The following is a 26803-nucleotide window of genomic DNA, read 5'->3' on the forward strand; positions in this document are numbered from 1 at the left end:
GGGTATCTCCATTGGCAGAGATTTTGATTTTTCTGCTAGCCAGAGCCCTTCATGAAGGAGGCACATCAGTAATGAGGGCTCACGTTCTTGCCAAGCAGTCAGGCATGATTGATCGTAAATAGTGGTATTATCACTGTGAACACAAGGGGGCAGCAGGCTGTCGCAGTTTACCAAGGTGATGCCTGATGCTGAATTATTTCCTTTTGGAAGTCCTAATGCAAGCCTAGGATGTATAATTGATACTTTACTAACTCTGGTGAAAGAGTCAGATATGGAAGAGAATGGGGAGTTCTGTACTTGGGATCTTTGAATTCAAGTTTTGTTTCCAGCTTGGTCTTTACACACTTTTATTTCAGGACAAAAATAAAAAGGTTTTTTTTGGCATCTTTAGGCAAACTGAGTGTGTGTTGATCCAAGGAACACTGAAATATCAGGTTGTCCATATGAATTGAACTTATGAAAAAAAAGTTATACTTAATGTTGCCTTGGACCTATATTATATGGCCTAAAAGATTCTCACTGAAGTAGACCAAAAAATTAGCACTTTCCAAGATCACATTGTATGTTACCATTTGTCCTTGTATGTTTCTGTTTCTGTTAAGAGATCCCTGTTCGGCTCTCATTGTATGCCTTTAGTATACAGAGCTCGGTTGCTTTTGTCTAGAATTTGCTTTGTTTCTCCTCAGGCAGCAGAACAAGGACGGCCCCCTGAGCACACCAGCAAGTTTTATGCGAAGGGAGCACTACAGTATCTGGTTCCAATCCTCACACAGACACTAACTAAACAGGTGAGTTACCTTCCAAATATAGGTAGGTAAGCTGTGGAACCTTACTAAGAGTAAACTGTGGAAACTTTCCATGGAAGGAACTTCGCAGCCCATCAACTATTTGATGTTCTGTTGTTGATGACTTAGAAACAGCTAAGCTGCATCTATAAGATCCCCTAGGCTCTGACTTCTTTGTGAAGGAGAACTGAGTCTTAACATCTCAGATGCATCTTGCTCAGGAATGAGCCACATGCTGCTCTGATTTCCTGAGTGCTCCATTGTCCAAACTCATAAAAGAAAGGTGCTCTGTCAAAGCTTCAGTGAAGCAAGGTTAGGAGCAAAGATGTGCTGGTTTTAGGCCACTTGCGTATCTGTTGTAATATCCAGGATACTTTCGTGAGTTCACAGGGTGTATGTTTTTAAAATTCTAAGGAAGTTGGATATAAGTTATTCAGATGCTAATGAAGGACCCCAACCCAAGAAAGAAACCCTTCTACTGATCCTTTAAGATAATTAACTTCAATTATTAAGATTCAGGATGAAAGTAAAGTGACAAGACTTCATAAAGATTGGGGTCTAATGAGTAAATATAGAAGTTCTTTTATGAGGACCGTGTCCTGGTTGCTTTTGTTCTCCTGACTTGATGCAACACAGTGTTTTTTGATACGGTATTTGGGAAGCTTCTTCTGGTGCATGTGAAGTATTACCAAAGAGCTGCTAGTACTCTGACGAAACAATGTTGGTAACTGAGCATTGCATCATTTCTTTGTACACAGGAATGTAATTGTTTTTAGGGATGTGTATAATTCTCAATATAGCAGTTTCAAAAGCTAAGTAGGGATGTGTTTGGATTAAAATGAACTGGGTGTTCCCTTAATTTTCATCTCTCCTCTCAGGGTTTTTTTGTTTTTGTTTTTGTTTTTTCTTTTGTTTTGAGATGGAGTCATACTCTGTCTCCCAGGCTGGAGTGTCATGGCATGATCTTGGCTCAGTGCACCCTCTGCCTCCTGGGTTCAAGCAGTGTCCCACTCTAGCCTCCCCAGTAGCTGGAAGTACAGGTGCGCACCACCACGCCCAGCTAATTTTTATATTTTCAGTAGAAGCGGGGTTTTGCCATGTTAGCCAGGCTGGTCTCGAACTCCTGACTTCAAGTGATCCGCCCGCCTCAGCTTCCCAAAGTGCTGGGATTATAGGCGTGAGCCACTGTGCCTGGCCTATAGTTGCTATTTTTATCTTTTGACTTCGTGTCTTTACTTTTGTGTGTGTGTGTGTGTGTGTGTGTGTATTTTATATATATATTATATATTTTATATATTATGTTATATATATTTTATATAATGTTATATATTATATATTTTATATAATGTTATATATTATATTTTATATGTATTATGTTATATATTATATATTATATATTATGTTATATGTTATATATTTTATATGTACTACATATTATATATAATTATATATATTTTATATATATTATATATATTTATTTTTTAGACAGAGTCTCACTCTGTTGCCAGGCTGGAGTGCAGTGGTGCGACCTCGGCTCACTGTAGCCTCCGCCTCCTGGGTTCAAGCGATTCTCCTGCCTCAGCCTCCTGAGTAGCTGGGACTACAGGCATGCACCACCACGCCTAGCTAATTTTTGTAGTTTTAGTAGAGACGGGGTTTCACCATGTTGGCCAGGATGATCTCGATTTTTTGACCTCATGATCCGCCCACCTCAGTCTCCCAAAGTGCTGGGATTACAGGCATGAGCCACTGCACCCGGCCTCCTTTCTTATATTTTTATTGTGCTTTTCCTATTTGAGAACAAATTATTCTTTGTGTGATTTTCTGAAACTGCATAGGCAACCTGCCTTAAGTTTACTATGTGGTGTGAATGGCCACAATTAGGAAGCTATACCTTGGATTCTAACTTAAGAGGAGATATTAGTGGAATCTTTTCTTTTTTGAACTTTTGTGGTTTTGGTTTTTGGTTTTTTGGGGTGGCGTTGGGGGGTACAGAGTCTTGCTCTATCACCCAGGCTGGAGTGCAGTGGGGCGGTCTTGGCTCACTACAACCTTCATCTCCCTGGTTCATGTGATTCTCTTGCCTCAGCCTCCCGAGTAGCTGGGATTAACAGGTGTGTGCCACTATACCCAGCTAGTCTTTGTATTTTTAGTAGAAACGAGGTTTCACCATGTTTACCAGGCTGGTCTCGAAGTCCTGACCTCAAGTGATCTGCCTGCCTTGGCCTCCTAAAGTGCTGGGATTACAGGCATGAGCCACTGCACTGCACCTTGCCTCTTTTTTGAACTTTTGATTGAATCATGTCTTCTTCCCAGTCATGAAACTCCCTTACTTTCCTGGTCTTTTATTCCATAGGTTAATTTTTGTTGATTTTGGACTTTATTTATTATTATTTTTAATACTATGTTTTTTTTTTTTTCTGACAGAGTCTCACTCTGTTACACAGGCTGGAGCACAGTGGCACAATCTCGGCTCACTGCAACCTCCGCCTTCCAGGTTCAAGCAATTCTCCTGCCTTGGCCTCCTGAGTAGCTGGGACTACAGGCACGTGCCACCACACCCAGCTAATTTTTGTATTTTTAGTAGAGATGGGGTTTCACCATGTTGACCAGGCTGGTCTCAAACTCCTGACCTCAGGTGATCCACCCACCTTAGCCTCCCAAAGTGCTGGGATTACAGGCATGAGCCACCGCGCCTGGCCGATTTTGGACTTTACATAACTGGAATCATACAGCATACATTCTAGTTCTGTATTTTGTTCTAAATGTTTGGAATTCATTCTTTTTGGATGTAGTTGAAATTTTTTCATTCTTGTTGTGTAGTACTAAATGGAATCTTCTTCCATCTGAATCTTGTTTAACAAAGGCTATGCTGTGATGAATGTTTGTGGAAGAGACAAAATATAAAGGTCTTATATTTTATTTCCCTGGAGTTTAAGTTCTAAAGACATTCAAGAGTAGTCAGAGGACCTTTAGAGTTAAAATGATTCTTTGGACAAAATCTTAACTAGTGCCATATTCTTTCACCAGGACGAAAATGATGATGACGATGACTGGAACCCCTGCAAAGCAGCAGGGGTGTGCCTCATGCTTCTGGCCACCTGCTGTGAAGATGACATTGTCCCACATGTCCTCCCCTTCATTAAAGAACACATCAAGAACCCAGATTGGCGGTACCGGGATGCAGCAGTGATGGCTTTTGGTTGTATCTTGGAAGGACCAGAGCCCAGTCAGCTCAAACCACTAGTTATACAGGTGAAACTGAGGGATTTTTGGAGTAGAAAGTAGGATATTTATTGTTTAAACTTAAAGCATATCTTTATTTTTCAAAACAAAACTGTAAATTGTCATCTACAAAGATTATCTCTAGATACTTGTTTACTTTTAATGAGGGTAAAATATATTTCTTAGGTTTTTAATTACATAAGTCAGCATGATCCAGAGACATGTGAAAGAAGCCAAAAGAGAAAAGTCATCTTTAATTTCATTGCCCAGAAATACCACTCTTAACTCTGTATTTATCCTTGAAGCTTTTTCCTATGTGCATGTGTGTGCAACAGGCTCTTCCTGTGCAGATTGTTTTATAACTTGTTTCTTCATTTAATACTATGTTGTAAACATTTCCCAATAATTTTTTTTTGCACCTAGCACTGATTCCCCATAATTTTTAATAATGGCATTATTATTCTATTCTTTGGACAAAATGTCCTTTATGTAATGAAAATGTTCTTATGGAAATGTTGTGCTTGTTTTGCTATTACAAGTCGTGCCATTGCACTCCAGCCTGGGCAACGAGCGAAACTCTATCTCAAAAAAAAAAAAAAGAGTTTGTTATAGTTGAGTTTAGTGCTTAAAGAATTCAGTCTTCAGTCTTTCTGGATATAGCCAGATGCCATCATAGCTGCATCCTGAGAATTCTGAGTATCTGAGTAATTCTTTTTTTTTTTGAGGTAGGGAGGCGGGGGGATGGAGTCTTACTCTGTCACCCATGCTGGAGTGCTGAAGTGCAGTGGTGCAATCTAGGCTCACTGCAACCTCCAGCTCCCCAGCTTAAGCAATTCTCGTGCCTCAGCCCCCTGAGTAGGTGGGACTATGTGCCACCATGCCCAGCTAATTTTTGTATTCTTAGTAGAGAGACCGGGTTTCATCATGTTGGTCAGGCTGGTCTTGAACTCCTGACCTCAAGCAACTCCTGACCTCAAGTGATCTGCCTGCCTCAGCCTCCCAGAGTGCTGGGATTACAGGCATGAGCCATCATCATGCCCGGCCTCTATCTGAGTAATTTATTGCAGACTACTAAAAGCATTTACACCAAATTCTTAATATAAAACTCTAAACTGGAGTTTTGAAAGATATTTTCAAATATTTTGAAAGATGTTTCACACCATGTCCTGTAAAATTACAGAAGTATCTTGGTGACTTTTTTGAGTTAAGCCATCCATCAGTATTTCTTTCTCTGGGGTAGTAGTTAACATGAATTTTAATCTTTGTTTTGCTTTGCTAATAACTGTTATATTTTCAGGCTATGCCCACCCTAATAGAATTAATGAAAGACCCCAGTGTAGTTGTTCGAGATACAGCTGCATGGACTGTAGGCAGAATTTGTGAGCTGCTTCCTGAAGCTGCCATCAATGATGTCTACTTGGCTCCCCTGCTACAGTGTCTGATTGAGGGTCTCAGTGCTGAACCCAGAGTGGCTTCAAATGTGTGCTGGGTAAGGGATTTTCTTGCTGGTGAGAAAAGGAGCTTGCCTGCGCCACTGGCAAGAAAGTAGAAGGTGTGGGAGAGAAATCAATCTGCCTCACTGGAATGCTTTTTCTGATTTTCTTTCTAATTTATTCAATTAAAATGTGGGGGAGATTCCAACTGCAAGAGCCAGTGGGAACACTTGACTTATGGTTACTGGTTCCTGAACCACTTAGAACAGTCATGGTAACCCAGTGGGGAAACTATCTGGACTTGGGTTGCTTTCTTGAATTGCTTGGGGACAAGAAGTTTTGATTAAGGTAGAGAGTTTTTGGCTGTAAGAAGTATCATTGCTGAGTAGAGGGCAAGAGGGAAGGAAGGTAGGCAGCCTAAATGCTGAGTCAGTATAGGCTAATGTAATTGGTTAAGGGGAGGAAGTTCAAATAAGGAAGGAATGGGGCTAAACGTCTTTCTGTGAAAGGAAACAGAAATGAAATGGCAGGTATGGTTGAAAGTACTCTGCTGCTTAGAGAGTTGTCAGATTATCAAACAGGATGATGAGAGATGTCAGATTATCAGACAGGATTTCTGTGATTGGAAACAGAAGAAATGGCAGGTATTGGTGAAAGTACTCTGCTGCTTAGAGAGTTGTCAGATTATCAGACAGGATGAACAGGAAGTACAAATCAAATAAATAAATAGTTAGTTTAAAAGATACCTGTAAAATGCTGTCTTGAGATGACCTTGGCAGAAAAAGTTGGAAGTTCACTGACACGGCCCAAAGTATCTTAATGAAAAATGAGATAATCCTAAGGTGTGGGGTTCTTTCAGGATTAACATTGAACCTATGTGCATTTCAGGCTTTCTCCAGTCTGGCTGAAGCTGCTTATGAAGCTGCAGACGTTGCTGATGATCAGGAAGAACCAGCTACTTACTGCTTATCTTCTTCATTTGAACTCATAGTTCAGAAGCTCCTAGAGACTACAGACAGGTAACTGATATTTCACAGAAATGAGTGACGTCTTTGCATCCAAGTTCTATTGCCTTCTGTGTGGAGGATATCTAGCTTAATCATAGAAGCATAATGAGACAGGACAAGACTCTACCTTCTCTAGAGGAATTAAAAGAAACCCGCTGGGCGCGGTGGCTCACGCCTATATTCCCAGCACTTTGGGAGGCCAAGGCGGCTGGATCACCTGAGGTCAGGAGTTCGAAAGCAGTCTGGCCAACATGGTGAAACCCTGTCTCTACTAAAAATACAAAAAATTAGCCGGGCGTGCTGGCGCATGCCTGTAGTCCTAGCTACTTGGGAGGCTGAGGCAGGGGAATTGCTTGAACCTGGGAGATGGAGGTTGCAGTGAGCTGAGACTGCGCCATTGCACTCCAGCCTGGACAACAAGAGTGGAACTCGTCTCAAAAAAAAGAATTCCATGATTGATTGATTGGTTTGTTTAAAGATGGAGAAAGAAATGCAGATTCCACCTACCTTAGAATTGTTCAGTTTACAGCTGAAATCTGAATATAGTGTAATTTCTCTGCTTTCTTTGTAGAGAGTAATAGATCTAGAGAGGTTCCTTCATTTTGCAGCATTGACAGTTAACAGGAGTATTTGGTTACAAGAGAAATGATAGTACTCATTATGAATTTGATTGCCACACCAAATCAATAACTACCATTTTTATTTTATTTTATTAATTAATTAATTAATTTATTTTGAGACAGAGTGTTGCTCTGTTGCCCAGGCTGGAGTGCAGTGGCGCAATCTCAGCTCACTGCAACCTCCTCAAGCGATTCTCCTGCCTCAGCCTCCTGGGTAGCTGGGACTACAGGTGCATGCCACCATGCCTGGCTAATTTTTGTATTTTTAGTAGAGACAGGGTTTCACCATGTTGGACAGGATGGTCTCGATCTCCTGACCCTCGTGATCCACCTGCCTTCGCCCCCCAAAGTGCCAGGATTACAGGCATGAGCCACCATGCCCGGCCAACTACCATATTTTTATATAGGATGAAGAACTTGGGGTAAATACAGTTGACTTAGAAACAAGCTTTTGAAATGTTGTTTAAAGGGATTATAAGTTGGAGACAACCTTTAACAATTTATGTTTTGTATGAGCTATACCTAAAGTCATGAGCAAAGTAAACCTTCAGGAAGAGAGCTGAGCACAAAATCTTCCTTTTTTTTTTTTTTGAGACAGTCTTCTCTTGTCACCCAGGCTAGAGTGCAATTGTGCAATCTTGGCTCACTGCAACCTCCTGGGTTCAAGTGATTCTCGTACTTCAGCCTCCCGAGTAGCTGGTACTAAAGGTGCCCACCAACATGCCTGGCTAATTTTTGTATTTTTAGTAGAGATGGGGTTTCGCCATGTTGGCCAGGCTGGTCACAAACTCCTGACACCTCAGGTGATCTGCCCACCTTGGCCTCCCAAAGTGCTGGGATTGTAGGCCTGAGCCACTGTGCCCATCAAAAAAAAAATCTTCCATTTAACTAGTTCATGTCCATGCCTCTTTGAGATTATATATGAAGACATCTTTTTTAAATGAATGAAGAAAATTGGGGTATTTTTTTTTTTCTGGGACGGAGTTTCGGTCTTGTTGCTCAGGCTGGAGTGCGGTCTCGGCCCACTGCAACCTCCACCTCCCAGGTTCAAGGAATTCTCGTGCCTCAGCCTCCTGAGTAGCTAGGATTACAGGCACAAGCCACTACACCTGGCTAATTTTTATATTTTTAGTAGAGGTGGGGTTTCACCATGTTGACCAGGCTGGTCTCAAACTGACCTCAAGTGATCCGCCTGCCTCAGCCTCCTAAATTGCTGGGATTATAGGCATGAGCCATCACGTCTAGCCAGGAAAATTGGGGTATTTTCTTCATAGCACTTCAGACAACCTGTTAAATTGTTCACATGATTTTTTACCATTTCAAACCATTTTTTCCTCTATAATTTTAGCCCATTTCCAAAAGGGCCATTCTAAATTTTAACTGTCTGGAGACCATAATGAACATAGCCATTGGCTCAAAGGACTTGAAGATTTCATTCTTGGATATTGTGTTTTCAAACTCAAACCAGGTCTGCAGACATACCGGTTCCTGAGTTCTTATTTTTGGCAAGACATTGTCTATGTTCTTCCCTGTCCTTTTCATTTGAGGCTTTAAGATTTTCGCTGTGTTCTTTACAGACCTGATGGACACCAGAACAACCTGAGGAGTTCTGCATATGAATCTCTGATGGAAATTGTGAAAAACAGTGCCAAGGATTGTTATCCTGCTGTCCAGAAAACGACTTTGGTCATCATGGAACGACTGCAACAGGTTCTTCAGATGGAGGTGAGACCTAAGAGTGCCCCTGACTATGGGTGGGAATTGGGTAGTACTTTTGACACCTAGGTCTGTTTTCCAGACTGTTCTGTCTTTTTAGTGTTTAAGTATATATTTTCTCAGAAAGATAATAAAGCTTATACAAAAAACATTGCACCTTAACGTTAGCATTGTTTGTCATGGTTTACTCATATATGTGTTACACTATATGTATTATGGGTTTTTTGTTGCTGTTGTTTACTTTCCTATGTTAGTATTAGGGAAGATTATTAAATGGTCCCAGCAAAAGTGGAAGGTTTTCATGTAGAGTATGTTTTCTTATTTTCTTTGTAGTCACATATCCAGAGCACATCCGATAGAATCCAGTTCAATGACCTTCAGTCTTTACTCTGTGCAACTCTTCAGGTATGGTGGTGCCTTATGACTTAATAACTCCAGGTTGGAGAATTATTAGTATCTCAGTATAACAAGTTCGTGTACACACAGAACTCGAAAATGGTATAGATGATGCGGATCAGAAGCTGTTCTCAGAAGGCTTTGGTCTGTGATTGGTTGATTGGGAGAGGAATTCCCCACCTGCCTTACCTGTCTGTCTAGAAAGATTCAAATCCTACTTATTTACAGATGGTCTAGATGTAATCTTGATAAAATCAAACCAACTTGACTTCTCCTAATTCAACATACACTCCTCAGACCTCTCTTCCTCACTCGTTTGTTTCAACTAATGTCACTGTGTAGAGAAGGAAACTACTTAATGTGTGATGGTTCCTTCCAGATGTATAGCTCATTTGTGTTGGCAGCTTGAATGGTTTTGGTTTTTTTATTTTGAAAACCAAAAAACTCTTGGTTTTTCATTAGGTTATTCAAGCCTAGCTCAGTCAGATTTGGTTCCCAGCTATAGTTCACTTGGCTAAAAATAAAGCCTTGAATTTGTACCGTCATCTTTTGAAACATTTGCTGTTTGACCTAATGTCAGTGACATTAGTTGAAACAAACGAGTGAGGAAGGAATGTTTGATGGGAGAAGTCAGGTTGGTTTGATTTTATCAAGTTTATTTCTAGGTCATCTGTAAATAGGTAGGATATAGGAAGGGTTGCTTTTTGTTTGTTTTATGAATAAGAGCTCTAAGGTGATAGGGCCTTCTCTAAAGCTGAAGTAATTTAACTATCATTCCAGTAAGACTGGACTATGGCGGCTACCAGCAGGGATTTGTCAGACAGTAAGACAAATGAAATTGAGAGGACATGACCTTCTGCACAACGGAGGATCAGCTCACGTTTGTTCTGAATTGAGAAACAGGAGAAATGTTAAAATGTATTGCTGATGATTGGTACTGTCAATGTTTTTGTGTATAAAATACATTTGGCATTCCCAAAATTAAAAAATATCAAGGGACTTAATTGATTTTAAAAAGAAAAGGTATAGTGTTCTGATTGGGAGATTTGGAATCAACTGATCTTGAACTCTTACTCATTTCACAGAATGTTCTTCGGAAAGTGCAACATCAAGATGCTTTGCAGATCTCTGATGTGGTTATGGCCTCCCTGTTAAGGATGTTCCAAAGCACAGCTGGGTCTGGGGGAGTACAAGAGGATGCCCTGATGGCAGTTAGCACACTGGTGGAAGGTCGGTGAGAAATACTGTCTGGTCAGGGAATGTCTTTGGAATGTAGGCATTTCAGTGGCCTTAAATAATTGTCACCCAGGCTGGAGTGCAGTGGCACGATCTTGGCGCACTGCAGCCTTGAAATCGTGGGCTCACATGATCCTTCCACTTCAGTGCCCCCACAGTAGCTGGGACTAACAGATGCACACCACCATGCCCAGCTAATTTTTATATTTTTGGTAGAGATGGAGTTTCGCCATGTTGCCCAGACTGGTCTTGAACTCCTGAGTCAAGTGATCCTCCTGCCTCAGCCTCCCAGAGTGCTAGGATTATAGATGTGAGCCACTGGGCCCAGCTTAATTTTGTTTGTGTGTGAAGATAGGGTCTCACTATATTGCTCAGGCTGGTCTCAAACTCCTGGGCCTCCTTGTCAGAGCATTAAAGAATTTTTGACTATAGAAAGCATAGTCCTTTTACTGGGGCATGAGTCACTTCAAAGTTAGATTGAACTTAAGTGCACACCACTTAAATTTGTATAACTGCCTTGTCAGTCCATTTAAATGGGGAGCCAGTTTGCAACGGAGATTGGCAGAGGTGTTGTTTTTTTTTTGTTTTTTTTTTTTGTTTGTTTTTTTTTTGAGACTTGTTCTGTTGCCCAGGATGGAGTGCAGTGGCACCATCTTGGCTCACCACAGCCTCCACCTCCCAGGTTCAAGCAATTCTCCTGCCTCAGCCTTCTGAGTAGCTGGGATTATAGGCATGAGCCACTGTGCCCTGCTAAAAGTTTCTATTTTCTTTCCTGGTACTTGTCATCACCTGGTTTGGTTTGTAGTGCTTTGGACTAAGATTGACACATCATGGTGCCTGGTATGGGATGAAATGAAACATTGAGCGAGTTCTAGGAATTGATTTTCTGATTTTTACATGTCTGACTGCAAAATTGGTTTGGGGAAGCCATATCTGACTTAAGACTCTTTGAAGGGGCATTACGAAGCACTTTAGGAATCTGATATGCCTTTTCAGGGGTGGCCTGTAAGTACATTGCTAAGGCCATTTACCTGAGGACCACTCTCCTGAGGACTAGACCTATTTTTGGCATAAACAGCCTATGTCCAACTGGTCTGTCAACATGTGACCACTCCTCTGAAAGGGCAAAGAAGTTAATTTTGGCTCCTGGAGTGGCTGATTTGGATCTGAAGCCCAGTGCTGCTTTTCCTGGCTGTGGCTTGTTTAGCCCTTGATGGAATTGCCTAAGGACCCTGTTTTGAAGCTGGCTTGCAGAAAGGACATGCTATTATCAGATGAGGAGGTGGACAAGAGTCAGTATTGCTGGTTCAGCCCATTTAAAATTAACCTTGACATTCCTTGAGGGTCATACCACTTGGTTGTATTAGTCAGAGTAAAGCCCTATTCTGTGGACAGTGGGCATTGTCTCTGTGGCGTATGAATTAGGGCCCTTCCAGCAGTAATAAATTTGGCTTATGCAAGCCTTTAATGTCTTCATGATGGAATCGGTAACTAAAGCACATTTCACCCAACCTGTTGAGTGGAGCGAGTACATTTTGGGAGAGGTAGGATGGGTTATTTCTGCCTGCCTCTGTGTTAACCCGTGGTGCTGTCATTGGCTAATAGCTTATTTCATTACAGTGTTGGGTGGTGAATTCCTCAAGTACATGGAGGCCTTTAAACCCTTCCTGGGCATTGGATTAAAAAATTATGCTGAATACCAGGTAGGATGTGCTTTTCAAAATAGTATGTTCCCATTTATATCTGACAGTCACTGTAGTGCACGCAAAACCAGGTTCTTATAGCTTAAGTAGTTTTTCCTGATACATTGTCCTAAAAGGCAAGCTACTTTATTCATTGCCTGAACGTTTGAACTGGAAGTAGTCCATGAAAAACAGGATATTAGATGTACCAGATAACGGTGGACAAGATATTAGATGTAACAGATAATGGTGGACAAGATGACTGTTTATTTGCTTAGACAGTACTAATGCAGGAGCAGCTATAAAGTTGAGCTATTAGCACCCTGGAGAGCAAGGCTTTTTTTTTTTTTTTTTTTTTAACTTTATCAGTGATCTCTCTCGGATAGTCTTTGTTCCCTGCCTGCCATGTTGGTTGTTGAAAAATTAATCTCGGCAGAGGGATTTAACTCTAGGTTCAAGTGATAAAAGCTCAGCAGCTAGTTAAAAATAATATCTTGCCCCAGCAGGCAGCCTTTTCTGTTAGAAGATTATTTCCTTGATTCTTGGCAGGTTTGTTTGGCAGCTGTGGGCTTAGTGGGAGACTTGTGCCGTGCCCTGCAATCCAACATCATACCTTTCTGTGACGAGGTGATGCAGCTGCTTCTGGAAAATTTGGGGGTGAGTATCTACACACAATCTAATTAACCAGTCTTCTTTGAAGAAAACAACAGTTGGAAAGATAGTTAAATATCGACCAGGCTGGGCGCAGTGGCCTGTAATCCCAGCATTTTGGGAGGCCGAGGCAGGCCAGGAGTTCGAGACCAACCTGGACAACATGGTGAAACCCCGTCTGTACTGTAGATACAAAAAAAATTAGCCGGGCGTGATGGCAGGCGCTTGTAATCCCAGCTACTCGGAAGGCTGAGGCAGGATAATCGCTTGTACCCGGGAGGTGGACGTTGCAGTGAGCCAAGATCACGCCATTGCACTCCAGCCTGGGCAAGAAGAGCCAAACTCCGTCTCAAAAAAAAAAAAAAAAAAAAAAAATCAGTGACAGGGAGCTGTAAGTTTCTAGAACATTGGCTTTGGGCTTATAAAGAGGGGAGTTGTTCATTTCACAGATGACTCTGAAGAAAGATTGTAAAGTTAAAGGAATGTGTGCTCTATTAGAGATTTTTAAAACAAAACAGTAAAATGCAAAGGAAAAGTAAATACAGTTGTTCCTTGACTTATGATGGAGTTAGGTCCCAATAAACACATTGTAAAGTGGAGAAATCATCAAACCATCATGAGCAGGGGACCATTTGTATATTATACCTCTCTCCAGAGATAGCCATCATTAATTATTGTACATGTGTGTTCTCAGACAAGTCACTTGATTCTTAAGTCAGTCTCCTCATGTGTAAAGTGGGAATACCAATACCTGGGCTAGCTTCTTAGAGTTGGTGTGAGGTGCAAATGGGAAAGGTTTTGTAAGCTATAAAGGACCATCCAAATATTTAAAATCAATAGTTGCTTGTTAGAAATGAAATTTTCATGAATCTTTGGACCAAACAAGTTTTGACTTAATTCACTTTTCCTTTTGTTCCTTGTCAGAATGAGAACGTCCACAGGTCTGTGAAGCCGCAGATTCTGTCAGTGTTTGGTGATATTGCCCTTGCTATTGGAGGAGAGTTTAAAAAATACTTAGAGGTTGTATTGAATACTCTTCAGCAGGCCTCCCAAGCCCAGGTGGACAAGGTAAGCTTAAAGCTATCTTGGCTGTTCTTTAAGTCTAGCTCTAATTGGAGGGACTATTGACAAACATGCAGCTAAAAGTGATCAGTGTGATGTAGGTTCTGTTCTTTGTGTCTTACAGTCAGACTATGACATGGTGGATTATCTGAATGAGCTAAGGGAAAGCTGCTTGGAAGCCTATACTGGAATCGTCCAGGGATTAAAGGGGGATCAGGAGAACGTACACCGTTGAGTATACAACCCAGTTCCCTTCGTCCGCTCGCCAATGTGCACTTAGCCAAGTGGGCTATGTCTGTCATTCTGTAGCTCGCTTGTGAACCTAGTGCCTGTTGCTTAAAAGGCTGGGAGAAGGGGGAGCAGTGCCCTAATGAAGAGAGTGGCTTGGGGAAAACTGTAGACTACTGTTTTTGCTCTGCTTCTTCTTTCTTTTTTTTGTTTTGAGACGGAGTCTCACTCTGTTGCCCAGGCTGGAGTGCAGTCGTGCAATCTCGGCTCACTGCAACCTCCACCTCCCAGGTTCAAGCAGTTCTCCTGCCTCAGCCTCCTGAGTAGCTGGAACTATACACATCTGCCACTATGCCTGGCTAATTTTTATATTTTTAGTAGAGGCAAGCTTTCACCTTGTTGGTCAGGCTGGTCTTGAACTCCTGATCTCAATTGATCCACCCGCCTTGGTCTCCCAAAGTGCTGGGATTACAGGCTTGAGCCACTGTGCCCAGCCTTTTAAATTTATTTTATTTTATTTTTATTTTTTGGAGACAGTCTCACTCTCACCCAAGCTGGAGTGCAGTGGAGCGATCACAGCTCACTGCAGTCTTCACTTCCTGGGTTCAAGTGATTCTTATGCCTCAGCTTCCTGAGTAGCTGGGACTACAGGCACACACCACCATGCCCAGCTATTTTTTTTTTTTTTGTATTTTAGTAGAGATGGGATTTCACCATGTTTTGCAGGCTGCTCTCGAACTCCTGAGCTCAGGCAATCTCCCACCTTGGGCTCCCAAAGTGATGGGATTTCAGGCGTGAGCCACTGCACCCAGCCCTCTGCTTCTTTTTCTCATATTTCTTGAGTATTACAAGGGATGGGATTCAGCAAAAATGTTGGGGGGAAGAAACCCAACATAAATGCTTCCTGTATCAACCATGAGTGGCAGGTCCCCTACCCCTTTCCCATCCCCACAAGCTAAATTGGAGGACTGGGGAGTCATAATTCCCGTTACGTGTTCTTGTTGCTGATTGGGGAAATTTTTTACTTCACCCCCCTTGGTATCATTAGCTCAGGAAAAAGTTAAATTTGTTTCTTCTATATTTGCCTATAGGAAGAGGAATATTTGTCTCTTCTGTCGACTTGAGGAACGACACATTAATCAAAGGAAGAATAATTTGATATAACTATATGCATCTAGTTATCCAGCTTGGACCTTGTATGATAGGGGTATAATAGTTGGAAATTTTGAAAAAGGATGTAGTCCTGCCATATGAGGGACAGCTGCATCAGACCTTCTCTCTCTTTTTTTTTTCTTTTTTTTTTGAGATGGAATCTTGCTCTGTCGCCTAGGCTGGAGCGCAGTGGCGCAATCTCGGCTCACTGCAAGCTCCGCCTCCTGGGTTCACGCCATTTTCCTACCTCAGCCTCCTGAGTAGCTGGGACTACAGGCGCCCGCCACCACGCCCGGCTAATTTTTTTGTATTTTTAGTAGAGACGGGGTTTCACCGAGTTAGCCAGGATGGTCTCGATCTTCTGACCTTGTGATCCACCCGCCTGGGCCTCCTAAAGTGCTGGGTTTACAGGCATGAGCCACCGCACCCGACCAATACCTTCTCTCTCTTTTATAGCGGATGTGATGCTGGTACAACCCAGAGTAGAATTTATTCTGTCTTTCATTGACCACATTGCTGGAGATGAGGATCACACAGATGGAGTAGTAGCTTGTGCTGCTGGACTAATAGGGTAAGTTATACCCTGCTTCTAAGAGCTGAATAGAACTTCTCACAGAAAATGAGAAAACATGGAGTAAGGAGTTTTGAGAGTATCGCGGATGGCAACAGTTCACTTTTTTGGCACAGAGATTTCTTTGCAGAACGCTTCATGTCCTGTTTTGAGTGTTCACATGATAGTTTATTCCAGACCCTCAAGGTGTCTGTATTACACCCCATTAAACTCTGATGTTGGTCAACAATTGCCTCTGTCTAGTGACCTCTACTGAGGGTTTTATTTATCTTTGAAATTTGCTAAGAAACCCATAGCACTGGTTTGGAAGGCTCAAAACATTATACTGGTATGGGGCTAGGAGCTCATTCTCAGCTGTGTTTGTTTTGCACAGGGACTTATGTACAGCATTTGGGAAGGATGTACTGAAATTAGTAGAAGCTAGGCCAATGATCCATGAATTGTTAACTGAAGGGCGGAGATCGAAGACTAACAAAGCAAAAACCCTTGCTACATGGGCAACAAAAGAACTGAGGAAACTGAAGAACCAAGCTTGGTAAGATCTTGCCTCCACTGTCCTCTTTCTTCTACTTCCTGGAGGAGGGGGGTATGTTTTCTTTAGGCCATTCTGGCAAGCACTGCCTTCTGGCATTTTTTTTGTTTGTACTTTTTCCCATGTAGGTGCTTCTGAGTCAGGCAGCCTCAGTTTTTCCTTGAGCCAAATGTTTGACTCCTCATAGTGATGGAGAGCAGAACTTTTAAAACTGGAATTCACTGAAATTCCCTGAGTATTTTGGGTCCTAATAAAATCATCAGTAATGCCATTTCCCCCTAATTCTCTTCTGTTTTCTATTCCTTTCCTCATGCCCTATTCTTTCTTTACAGCAGTGCTTTTAGACGTTGCCTAGCTCTAGAGAAGATTTCCAAAGTCAAATGTTTTTTTGTGTGTGTGTGTGTGTGTGTGTGTTTTCTTTTTGAGACAGAGTCTCACTGTCGCCCAGGCTGGAGTGCAATGGCACAATCTCGGTTCACTGCAACTGCTGCCTCCTGGGTTTGAGCAATTCTCCTGTCTCAGCCTCCCGAGTAGCTGGGATTACAGTCACATGCCACCACACCCGACTAATTTTCTTTTTTTCTTTTCTTTTCTTCTTCTTTTTTTTTTTTTTTTTCTTTTGGAGACAGTCTCGCTCTGTCGCCCAGGCTGGAGTGCAGTGGTGCGATCTCAGCTTATTGCAACCTCTGCCTCCCGGGTTCAAGCAGTTCTCTGCCTCAGCCTCCTGAGTAGCTAGGATTACAGGTGCCCTACCACCACCACACCTGGCTAATTTTTTTGTATTTTTAGTAGAAACAGGATTTCACCATCTTGGCCAGGCTGGTCTTGACCTCCTGACCTCGTGATCCACCCACCTCGGCCTCCCAAAGTACTGGGATTACAGGCGTAAGCTACCATGCCTGGCCCAGTTTTTGTATTTTTAGTAAAGATGGGGTTTCACCATGTTTGCCAGGCTGGTCTTGAACTCCTGATTTTAGGTGATCCACCCACCTCAGCCTCCTAAATTGCTGGAATTATAGGTTTTTTTTTTTTTTTTTTTTTTTTTGTATTTTTAGTAGAGATGGGTTTTCACCATGTTGGCCAGACTGGTCCTGACCTCAGGTGATCCACCTTTGTCGGTCTCCCAGGTGTGCACCACCACACCAGGCCTTGGCTCCTACTTTGAAATGCAATCTTGTTTGTTTGGAGACAGAGTCTCCTCTGTCACCCAGGCTGGAGTGCAGTGGTACAATCACACCTCATAGAAGCCTCCAGCTCCTGGGCTTAAGTGGCCCTCCTGCCTCAGCCTCCCAGGTGGTTGGGACTGCAGGCAAGCACCTCCATGACTGGCTAATTTTTTTTTATTTTTAGAGACAAGATCTCCTGTTGCCCAGGCTGGGTTTGAACTCCTGACCTCAAGAAGTTCTCCCTCCTTGGCCTCCCAAAGTGCTGAGATTAAAGGCTTGAGCCACTGCACCCAGACTGAAATACAGTTTTAATTTCTTTCACTCTTAATTAGTTATCTTACTCCACAGATCTCAGTAAAATTGGCTCTTTGAGTTTCCCTCGCACCCTCTGATGTAGGTGTTAATAAGAGCAGGTCAATGGCACATAGGACAAGAAGAAAGAGTGTCAATCCTTGAAATGTTGACAAATTCCATTCAGGCCTAGGAGCATGTAATTGTAGGAGTCAGCATTATTGGCTCTGTTGGGTATATGTGATCTCAAAGATTGACCTTTTTTTCCATCTGTTTTCAGATCTGTTACCATTGGGATGATAACCTGAGGACCCCCACTGGAAATCTCCCATCTTTTGAAAAACCTGGAAGTGAGGAGTGTGCACGGATGCTGAATGTTTGGGAATGAGAGGATGAGTGAGTGAGGCTTGAAAACACACCACATTGAAAATCCTGCCACAGCAGCAGCCGCAGCCGCCAACAGCAGCGCTGTTAGTGAGCTAAGTAAGCACTGACTTCGTAGAAAACCATAACATCGGCCATCTTGGAAAAGAGAAAAACAATGGAGTTACTTATTTAAAAAAAAAGAAAGAAAGTTATCTCTTCCCAGGAGAGGCTAGAAGTAGCTTTTCTGTCTTTTGGCCAGTGCCGAGTGGAATGCCTGGTTTGGGGGAGGAGGAGGGACTGGGTTCAGCTGTGGTGCTTTGTTGTAAAAGGCAGCCTGGCCTTTGCTACTGAGGAGAAAGATGGAGCCTGGGTCTCAAGCCCACCTTCGCTGTACCTTTGCCACATGGTACTGTATGCTTGCCAGCTAGAAGGAGGGTCAGGGATTTTTTACAGTCTGAGAATGAGTGTGTGTGAGTGAGGCGGTATCCACATTCTCAACTTCAAGTCATTGCAGTTTCTTTTTCCCAGAAAACAAGGGGTTAGATGTTGCATTTCATAAAACTAACCGAAGTTTTGTTTACTGATGCAGCACAAGAGATGTAAAAAAAAAAAAAAAAAAAAAAAAAAAAACACACACACAGAGGAAAGACGCTCTTTAGGTTTTGTTTTGTTTTTTTTTTTTGGTTTTGTTTTTTGTTTTTTTTACTCTAGGGAAAACACTGACGAATGGTCAGAGCTCCTATCCTGATCTTTTCATCAAGGCGCCTTTCCTAATAATATGGTTCAACTGTGAATGTAGAAGTGGGGGGGAGGGGGGAGAAAAAGAAAACTCTGGCGTTAGAGGATATAGAAAAATATAAGTACAATTGTTACAAATAACGCAGACTTCAAAAACAAAAAAATCACAACCCAAACAAACCAAAATTTAAATGATCAGAATTGGCAGCACAAAGAAAACGCCCTCTCCTGACTTGTATTGTGGCAGTCTGAACGCCCCCAGAAAATTGTGCCAAAGAGTTTAGAAAAATAAATATACAATAAAAGTAAACACATACACACAAAACAGCAAACTTCAGGTAACTATTTTGGATTGCAAACAGGATAAATTAAATGTTCAAACAATCTGATAAAATAACCATTTGGAAACTGCTTGGCCTTCTGTTCTTTTATTTGATTGACTACAATGCGGTATTGGTCTCTTGCTGCACTTCAAAAGCAACCAACAAAACAAAAACAAAAAAAAGTGTGTGTTGTGTGAATACACACACACACTAACTAGAAGTCTTGTGATGAAAATGGCACTTGGAAAAGGTTTTATTTTTCCACTGAAGTTGAAGGTTAATAAAATGGTGTCAAACGTCCCCTGGTCACACACTTGAATATTTTTTTAGAAGTGTGATGTGGTATGATTACCATAAATCAGACTTAATTATTTTCCCTTTTACAAGGGAACAGGGCATCCTGAATTTTAGAGCCTTTCAGCAATAAGAAGGGATGTTGGTGAGCTTTGATCCTCTTTTGGTTTTGCAGTTGTTAGGAGTTTTTGCTGGCATTTTGAATATGCTGCTTTCAGAAAAACCAAGGAAGTTTTAAAATTGCTTCCTGGTCCTTAGAGGACTAAAAACAAGACCCTCATTCCCACTTTCATTTCCACTCTAGCAAAAACTGGGCTTGCGTTTTTCTCCAACTCCTCGTTTATATCCTCCCTTCCATGTCCAAGCCTTCCATTCCTAAGTGGGATTGGCTCAGTTTTGCCCATCCATATGGCAGCATCTCTAATAGCTCTTGTACAGGGTATCAGATATTGTGCCTTTTGGTGCCAGGTTCAAAGTCAAGTGCCGATCTATGAACCAGTGTACAAAAAAAAAAAAATCCAGGTATTTGAAGGAGAGACGCTCCATTGTGAATAAAGAGCTCATACCAGCTCCTAAGCCCTATTAAGAAGAGGCCTGGTCCTCTAATGCCTTGTTTCCATTTCAGTTGTTCTTTGAGAGACAGAATGATGTACTAACCATTCGTGATTATTAAGATAGGGTTGGGTCAGGGCTTAGGGAGGGGGCAGAAATATTGGGGATAGAAAAAAAATCTGATCATTCCTCAGTGCTACCCATTTCTGTCCTGTGTGGGCTGCTTAGCTAGACAGCAGGAGAATAAAGTACACCGAGAACCATAATGAAAAAACCTTCCGTGTGTTTTGTCATGTTTTGTTCCAGGGAAGCAGTTGATGAGTGCTGTTACTAATGCTTTCTCCCAGATCCATTCAGTGGTGGAGAGGAGGAAAATGGGCTGGTTGGATGTGGTCTTGGTGCCTTGCAGTTACTCTGCACTGGTTATGCATTTAATTCTCCTCTTTTCTAGTTAACCTTTTGCCAGTGGGTTTTCCATAGTCTGGGTATTTGTCCTTATATCAGTTATACCACCTAAGGCAACTGGGTGCAAAATGCATTCTGTTCACTCACTGTCTGGGCCTTCCCCACCCTAGTCTTGGCACATTCCTTCAAGAATGTAGTTACCGTCTGCTTGGGAAGATGTCAGTGCAAATGTGAAGATAATGGGCATCGGACTAGGCTTTGGTTTGCCACAAGTGGCAGCTGCCTGTATCAATTACATTTATTAATTTTGCTTTTCATTTTTCCCAGTTCTCCTCACCCCCCCTTTGTTGAAATGTTGGACTTGCTGTCAGAGGCAACTGTAATATTGCCTTAGGGACTTGTGGAGAAGGGGAATTGCTCAGTGTAGTGTTTTAACTTTCAGAACCAAGCAATCTATTTACTCTTACAAATATTTAAGAAGTGTGTTAGTCCAACTTTAAGAAAAATCCAAACTCATCAGCTTTTGATAGCATCTTGGTTTTTGAAACAACTTCAATCTGTAATTGGCATTCAGAATGCCCTTGGCATGCCAGTCTGTGATGGCATTTAAGACCTGTAAAACACTTGAGCCCAACTCGATTAACCAAAACCGATAACCACCACCTTTATCTTCTAAATAAAGTCCGCTTTATTTTTATTTTCAACATCTTGCTGCTTTTTTTTTTTTTTTTTGTCCCAAATGGTGTCACCTCCATGGAGGTGAAATGGTTTGAAAGTCAGAATGTGTGGTGAGAGGTGTTTGTGTATGTATGTGTGTGGGGAAAAGGAGGGACACACATCTTGAAATGGATATTACATAGTGTAATGTGATATAGATGAAACAGTGTCCTACAAATGAGGTAAGGAAAAAGTATGCATGGAGGATGTTTCGTGTTTGGAGAGTTTGAAGCATTCCTCATCAGTAAAACAGGAATACTGACTAAGGTTGTTCTGCAAATTAAAACATAAAATCTCAGTGTTTACCATTTTTCACTTCAGGTGGGCCAAGCTGGCACCTTGGAGGCCAGGTGGAACTGCAGGCTTGCACTGTGTTTCTGAGTGTTTGTATTGGGACCAGGTATACGGTAATGGGGTTTCTTGTGGGAGCAGTTGCTCCTTCTCTGCCATTTGATGAACTAATTGCATTCTTTTCTCAAATCTCACCTTCAGTGGAGAAATGTTCTCAGTGAATCATTGTCCTCTGTTTGTGCCTATTTCTCAAGCTAATTCCGTGTCTAATGGATCATCCAAAAGTTGGCCTTTCACTTAGTTTTCATCATGTATTTCATTTCTACTTGCATTTCCCCCCCTCAAGAAACTTAGAACACTAGTTTGAGATTTAGGAGACTAGGCCCTTTCCTTTAACCCTGCTGCTTATTAGCGTAGTGGTGCCTGCAGGCTAGTTCATGGAAATACACCCTTTCTTAGTTAAGCAAAGTAAGGGCTGTAGACTCCCTTTTCTGATTGTACACCCTGTTAGTAAACTTTTGATCATGCATACCCCATGTGTTTATAAATAACATACTTGGACTACTATAACCACATATTGTGTAATCATAAGACACAAAAATAGAAAGTAAAAAGCAATTACATGATAAATAGAAGTTCTAGTATTTCTAAATCCAATTTGGAGGTTACTGAGTTATAGAGAGTAAATTTTTACCAGACTGCATTAAGTCCTGAACAGCAATGATTCACTGAGAACATTTCTCCACTGAAGGTGAGACTTGAGAAAAGAATGCAATTAGTTCATCAAATGGCAGAGAAGGAGCAACTGCTCCCACAAGAAACCCGGTTACCGTATACCTGGTCCCAATACAAACACTCAGAAACACAGTGCAAGCCTGCAGTTCCACCTGGCCTCCAAGGTGCCAGCTTGGCCCACCTGAAGTGAAAAATGGTAAACACTGAGATTTTGTGTTTTAATTTGTAGAACAACCTTAGTATTCCTGTTTTACTGATGAGGAAGGAAGGGCAGAAAGATTGACTCATCACACCAAGGTCACTTAGAGCCAGAATTCGGAGCCCGGTCTGTCAAATCAAGGCTTTACACATTTGCCCTGGACAGATGCTATGAGCCTCTTAGTAATAAAAAAACAAAGGTCCATATTGCACATACTTAGGATATGCCATCCATTTCCTTCCCAGCACTATCTAAAAGTATATTTTAATTTCGTTGTTTATCTGTTGCCAGTTTTCCCCGCTATAACGTAAGTTCCCTAATGCAGTGACCTTGACTGTCTTTTAGTATGCTCAGCTGAGAGAGCGCCTGACATATAGTAGACCTTCGATAAATATTTGTTGAACTAATGACATAGTAGAGTTCACAGAGTTCCTGTGATGGCATCACTTAGCCTTTGAAGGGCAAAGCATCCAGAAACCTGGGAATGGCAGGGCCACAGAAGACTTCTAGCTCTTATCTGCTGGATGACTTCAGGCTAACTTCTCAACCTTGGATTAACTGATGGAATGGGAACAGGATTAGTGAATAGTCATTATTTACATGATGTTCTTTTTATGTGCTTACAAGATGCTAGGCCTGTAATAAGTTCTTTCATAGAGTAATAAACTTTATCAACACTATAAGGAAGGCACCATTTTAGTCCCATTTTACAGGAGGAAATGTGAACAGGCTAAGAACCTTGCCCAAAGTCATGTGGGCTAGCAAGCAGTCCTGACCTGGATTTGTACCTCTAGCCTACATTGTGTGCCAGTGTTGTAAATGAGCTTATAGTTATCAATCAGAGAGAACCCTGGTTGAGATTTTGGAATTCAATAACAAAGCCATTTTGTCTTAATTCTACAATAAGTTCCATTATTAACCTTTGGCAACTGCCAGACTCTTAATTGAGTGTGTGTGTGTGAGATCAGTTTCTCTCCTAATTGGAGTTTGAATGTGTGTGTGATCAGCTTCCCTCCTAATTGGAGTTTGAACCAAACCATCTCCCTGCACTTCTGCTCCCTTTCTCTCTAAGCTGGAAGCTTTTGGGAACCAGGGCTGGGGGAGGGGTGGTTGTTGGTGCTCAGTGGCCAAAAAGGCCATTAGGCTGCTGAGTAAGCTCCACATCTGAATTACCCCAGCTCTGTCAGCTGATTGCATGCACAGCACAGGCAGGAGGCCTTCAAAGCCTGAGCTGTTCCCTCTCCCAGGTGCTCCTTGGCCACAGGTTACCAAGCTGAGCTGTCCTCAGTGTGAAATGTACCTTTTTGTCTGAAAGGAAAGTACATCTCAGCTTTGGCATATGGCATTAGCTCTGGATGCAGAGGGGCAGCCTGTCACCATTTCCGAAGGAAAGAGTTCACAAATGGCTCTGTGTGAATAAGCTCTTCATAGCGATGAGCAATGCCTGCTATGTTCTGGGCATTGCCCTTCAAAATATTTTAGTCTTTCGAGTATGACCTTGGACAAATTCTCCAACTCTTCTGATTCTCGATTTCCTCCTGTAAAACAGGGATCCCAATGAAAGATAATGCATACAAAGTTTTTAGCACAGGACCTTGAACTCACATTGATTAACCAATCAGCTACTACTGGCCAGGCGCGGTGTATGCCTGTAATCCCAGCACTTTGGGAGGCCGATGTGGGAGGATCGCCTAGAAGTTGGAGACCAGCCTGGGCAACATAGCAAGACCTTGTCTCTACAAATAATAAAAAACATTAGGCTGGGCGTGGTGGCTCACGCCTGTAATCCCAGCACTTTGGGAGGCTGAGGCAGGCGGATCACCTGAGGTCAGGAGTTTGAGACCAGCCTGGTCAACATGGTGAAACCCCATCTCTACTACTAATACAAAAATTAGCTGGGCATGGTGGTGCATGCCTGTAGTCCCAGCTACTCAGGAGGCTGAGGCAGAAAAATCGCTTGAACCTGGGAGGCGGAGGTTGCATTGAGCTGAGATCGCGCCACTGCACTCCAGCCCGGGCAACAAAGCAAGACTCTGTCTCACAAAACAAAAACAAAAACAAAAACAAAAAACAGGCTGGGCGCAGTGGCTCACGCCTGTAATCCCATCACTTTGGGAGGCCGAGGCAGGCGGATCACCTGAGGTCAGGAGTTCAAGACCAGCCTGACCAACATGGTGAAACCCCGTCTCAACTAAAAATACAAAATTAGCTGGGCGTGATGGCACATGCCTACAATCCCAGCTACTCAGGAGGCCAAGGCAGGAGAATCACTTGAACCTGGGAGGTGGAGGTTGCGGTGAGCTGAGATCGCGCCATTGTACTCCAGCCTGGACGACAAGAGCGAAACTCCATCTCAAAAACAAAAACAAAAAAACACATTAGCCAGGTGTGGTGGGAGGATGAGGCAGGAGGATCACTTGGGCCCAGGCGATCAAGTCTGCAGTGAGATGTGATTGCGCTACTGCACTTACCAAACAACTGTTTACGTGCCAGGAGACACTGGGGATATAGCAGTGAATAAGCAAACAAAATCTTCCTGTGGAGCTCACATTCTGATGGATAAATAATCAATATTCAATAATTCAATATAACTTTTTTTTTTTTTTTTTTGAGACGGAGTCTTGCTCTGTCACCCAGGCTGGAGTGCAGTGGCGCGATCTCGGCTCACTGCAAGCTCCGCCTCCCGGGTTCACGCCATTCTCCTGCCTCAGCCTCCTGAGTAGCTGGGACTACAGGCGCCCGCCACCACGCCCGGGTAATTTTTTGTATTTTTAGTAGAGACGGGGTTTCACCGTGTTAGCCAGGATGGTTTCGATCTCCTGACCTTGTGATCCACCCGCTTCGGCCTCCCAAAGTGCTGGGATTACAGGCGTAAGCCACCGCGCCTGACCTCAATATAACCTTTTAAAAATTCTGTTTGGGAGATAGCAGAAATGAACATGGCTGTGGAGAAAAATGAAGCACATATGGAATTATAAAAAACAAAAAACATCTGGGCGTGGTGGCTCATGCCTGTAATCCCAGCACTTTGGGAGGCTGAGGTGGGGGATCACCTGAGGTTGGGAGTTTGAGACCAGCCTGACCAACATGGAGAAACCCCATCTCTACTAAAAATACAAAATTAGCCAGGCATGGTGGCACATGCCTGTAATCCCAGCTACTCGGGAGACTGAGGCAGGAGAATTGCTTGAACCCGGGAGGTGGAGGCTGCGGTGAGCCGCGATGGTGCCATTGCACTCCAGCCAGGGCAACAAGAGTGAAACTCCGTCTCAAAAAAAAAAAAAAAAAAAACCACTCTATTCCTTCCCAAACCCTACTAATTCAATTAGGGGCTCTGCATTACCTCCACAGGAATTTGGGGACGTGGTGAAGGAATGTCTTTCTACCACTGCCCTACCCTCCCATCTGATGGAACACCTGCAGCTGCAGTTGGAGTCCCAGGATGCTTGCATGGTGAATGGCCCACTTTCTAGGGTCTGGAACTGGAGGGCGAAGGTGGCACCTAGATCCTGCAGTCACATGGGGCTAATCAATTTTCCTGCCCGCCAGGGTTCCATTTGAGTCATCTGGGTTTTATTTTGATTCAGCCTCTTTAACTGGCTGCTAATGTCACCTCCTCCTACTCTTTTCAGGCAATAATGGGACAGGAAAGACAGCCTCCAGAGCAAGAGTCATGGGAGTGGGAGAGTCTCCCTGGTGGTTTCCAAGGAGGAAACACTGGCAGGGCCTGGCTCTGGGGGCCTGCATTTGCACTGTCTCTCCTACCTTAACGATTGGAGGTGGGTCCTCTGTTATCACACCTGTGAAGGCCATTTAGAAATGTTTTACAACTCATGCCTGACCACTGTCCACCACTTTCCCCACTGTCCTCCCACTGTGGCTCCTATCCCCTTCACCATCTCCCCTATTATTGTCTCCACCATGATGAGCCCTGCCAATACCAGGGGCTCTTAAAAGGGATTCAGACCAGCTGGGCATGGTGTCTCACGCCTGTAATCCCAGCACTTTGGAATGCCGAGGCAGGCGGATCACGAGGTCAGGAGATCGAGACCCCATCTCTACTAAAAATACAAAAAATTAGCTGGGCGTGGTGGCGGGCGCCTGTAGTTCCAGCTACTCAGGAGGCTGAGGCAGGAGAATGGCATGAACCTGGGAGGCGGAGCTTGCAGTGAGCGGAGACCACGCCACTGCACTCCAGCCTGGGTGACAGAGCGAGACTCCGTCTCATAAAAAAATAAAAATAAAAATAAAAAGGGTATTCAGACCAATGTTCAGCTTTCTCAGATGAGGAAACAGGCCTAGAAAAGTGAAGTAGTCTTAAGTCACACTGCCTCATTTATTTATTCATTCAACAAAGAACATACTTTCTTACTCTTTTAAGATTTAGCTTAGCCAGGTGCGGTGGCTCATGCCTGTAATCACAGCACTTT

General features: G+C 42.8%; 1 protein-coding gene across 2 annotated transcripts in view; it reads left to right on the forward strand.

Moving 5' to 3' along the window:
• KPNB1 (karyopherin subunit beta 1) overlaps positions 1-21135 on the forward strand; it is a 35587-nt gene extending 14452 nt beyond the window's left edge. For both annotated transcript variants that reach the window (NM_002265.6, NM_001276453.2), the window contains 14 exons: positions 687-788; positions 3816-4040; positions 5308-5499; positions 6332-6462; positions 8648-8795; positions 9120-9191; positions 10268-10412; positions 12039-12121; positions 12650-12757; positions 13676-13819; positions 13938-14043; positions 15650-15764; positions 16138-16299; positions 18034-21135. In NM_002265.6, the coding sequence (NP_002256.2) occupies positions 687-788; positions 3816-4040; positions 5308-5499; positions 6332-6462; positions 8648-8795; positions 9120-9191; positions 10268-10412; positions 12039-12121; positions 12650-12757; positions 13676-13819; positions 13938-14043; positions 15650-15764; positions 16138-16299; position 18034 (1734 nt within the window). In that variant the 3' untranslated portion in view covers positions 18035-21135. The remainder of the gene's footprint in view (positions 1-686; positions 789-3815; positions 4041-5307; positions 5500-6331; positions 6463-8647; positions 8796-9119; positions 9192-10267; positions 10413-12038; positions 12122-12649; positions 12758-13675; positions 13820-13937; positions 14044-15649; positions 15765-16137; positions 16300-18033) is intronic.
• Positions 21136-26803: the final 5668 nt, after the last annotated feature.

The sequence above is a fragment of the Homo sapiens genome, chromosome 17 (genome assembly GCF_000001405.40).
Source record: "Homo sapiens chromosome 17, GRCh38.p14 Primary Assembly".
NCBI lineage: Eukaryota > Metazoa > Chordata > Mammalia > Primates > Hominidae > Homo > Homo sapiens.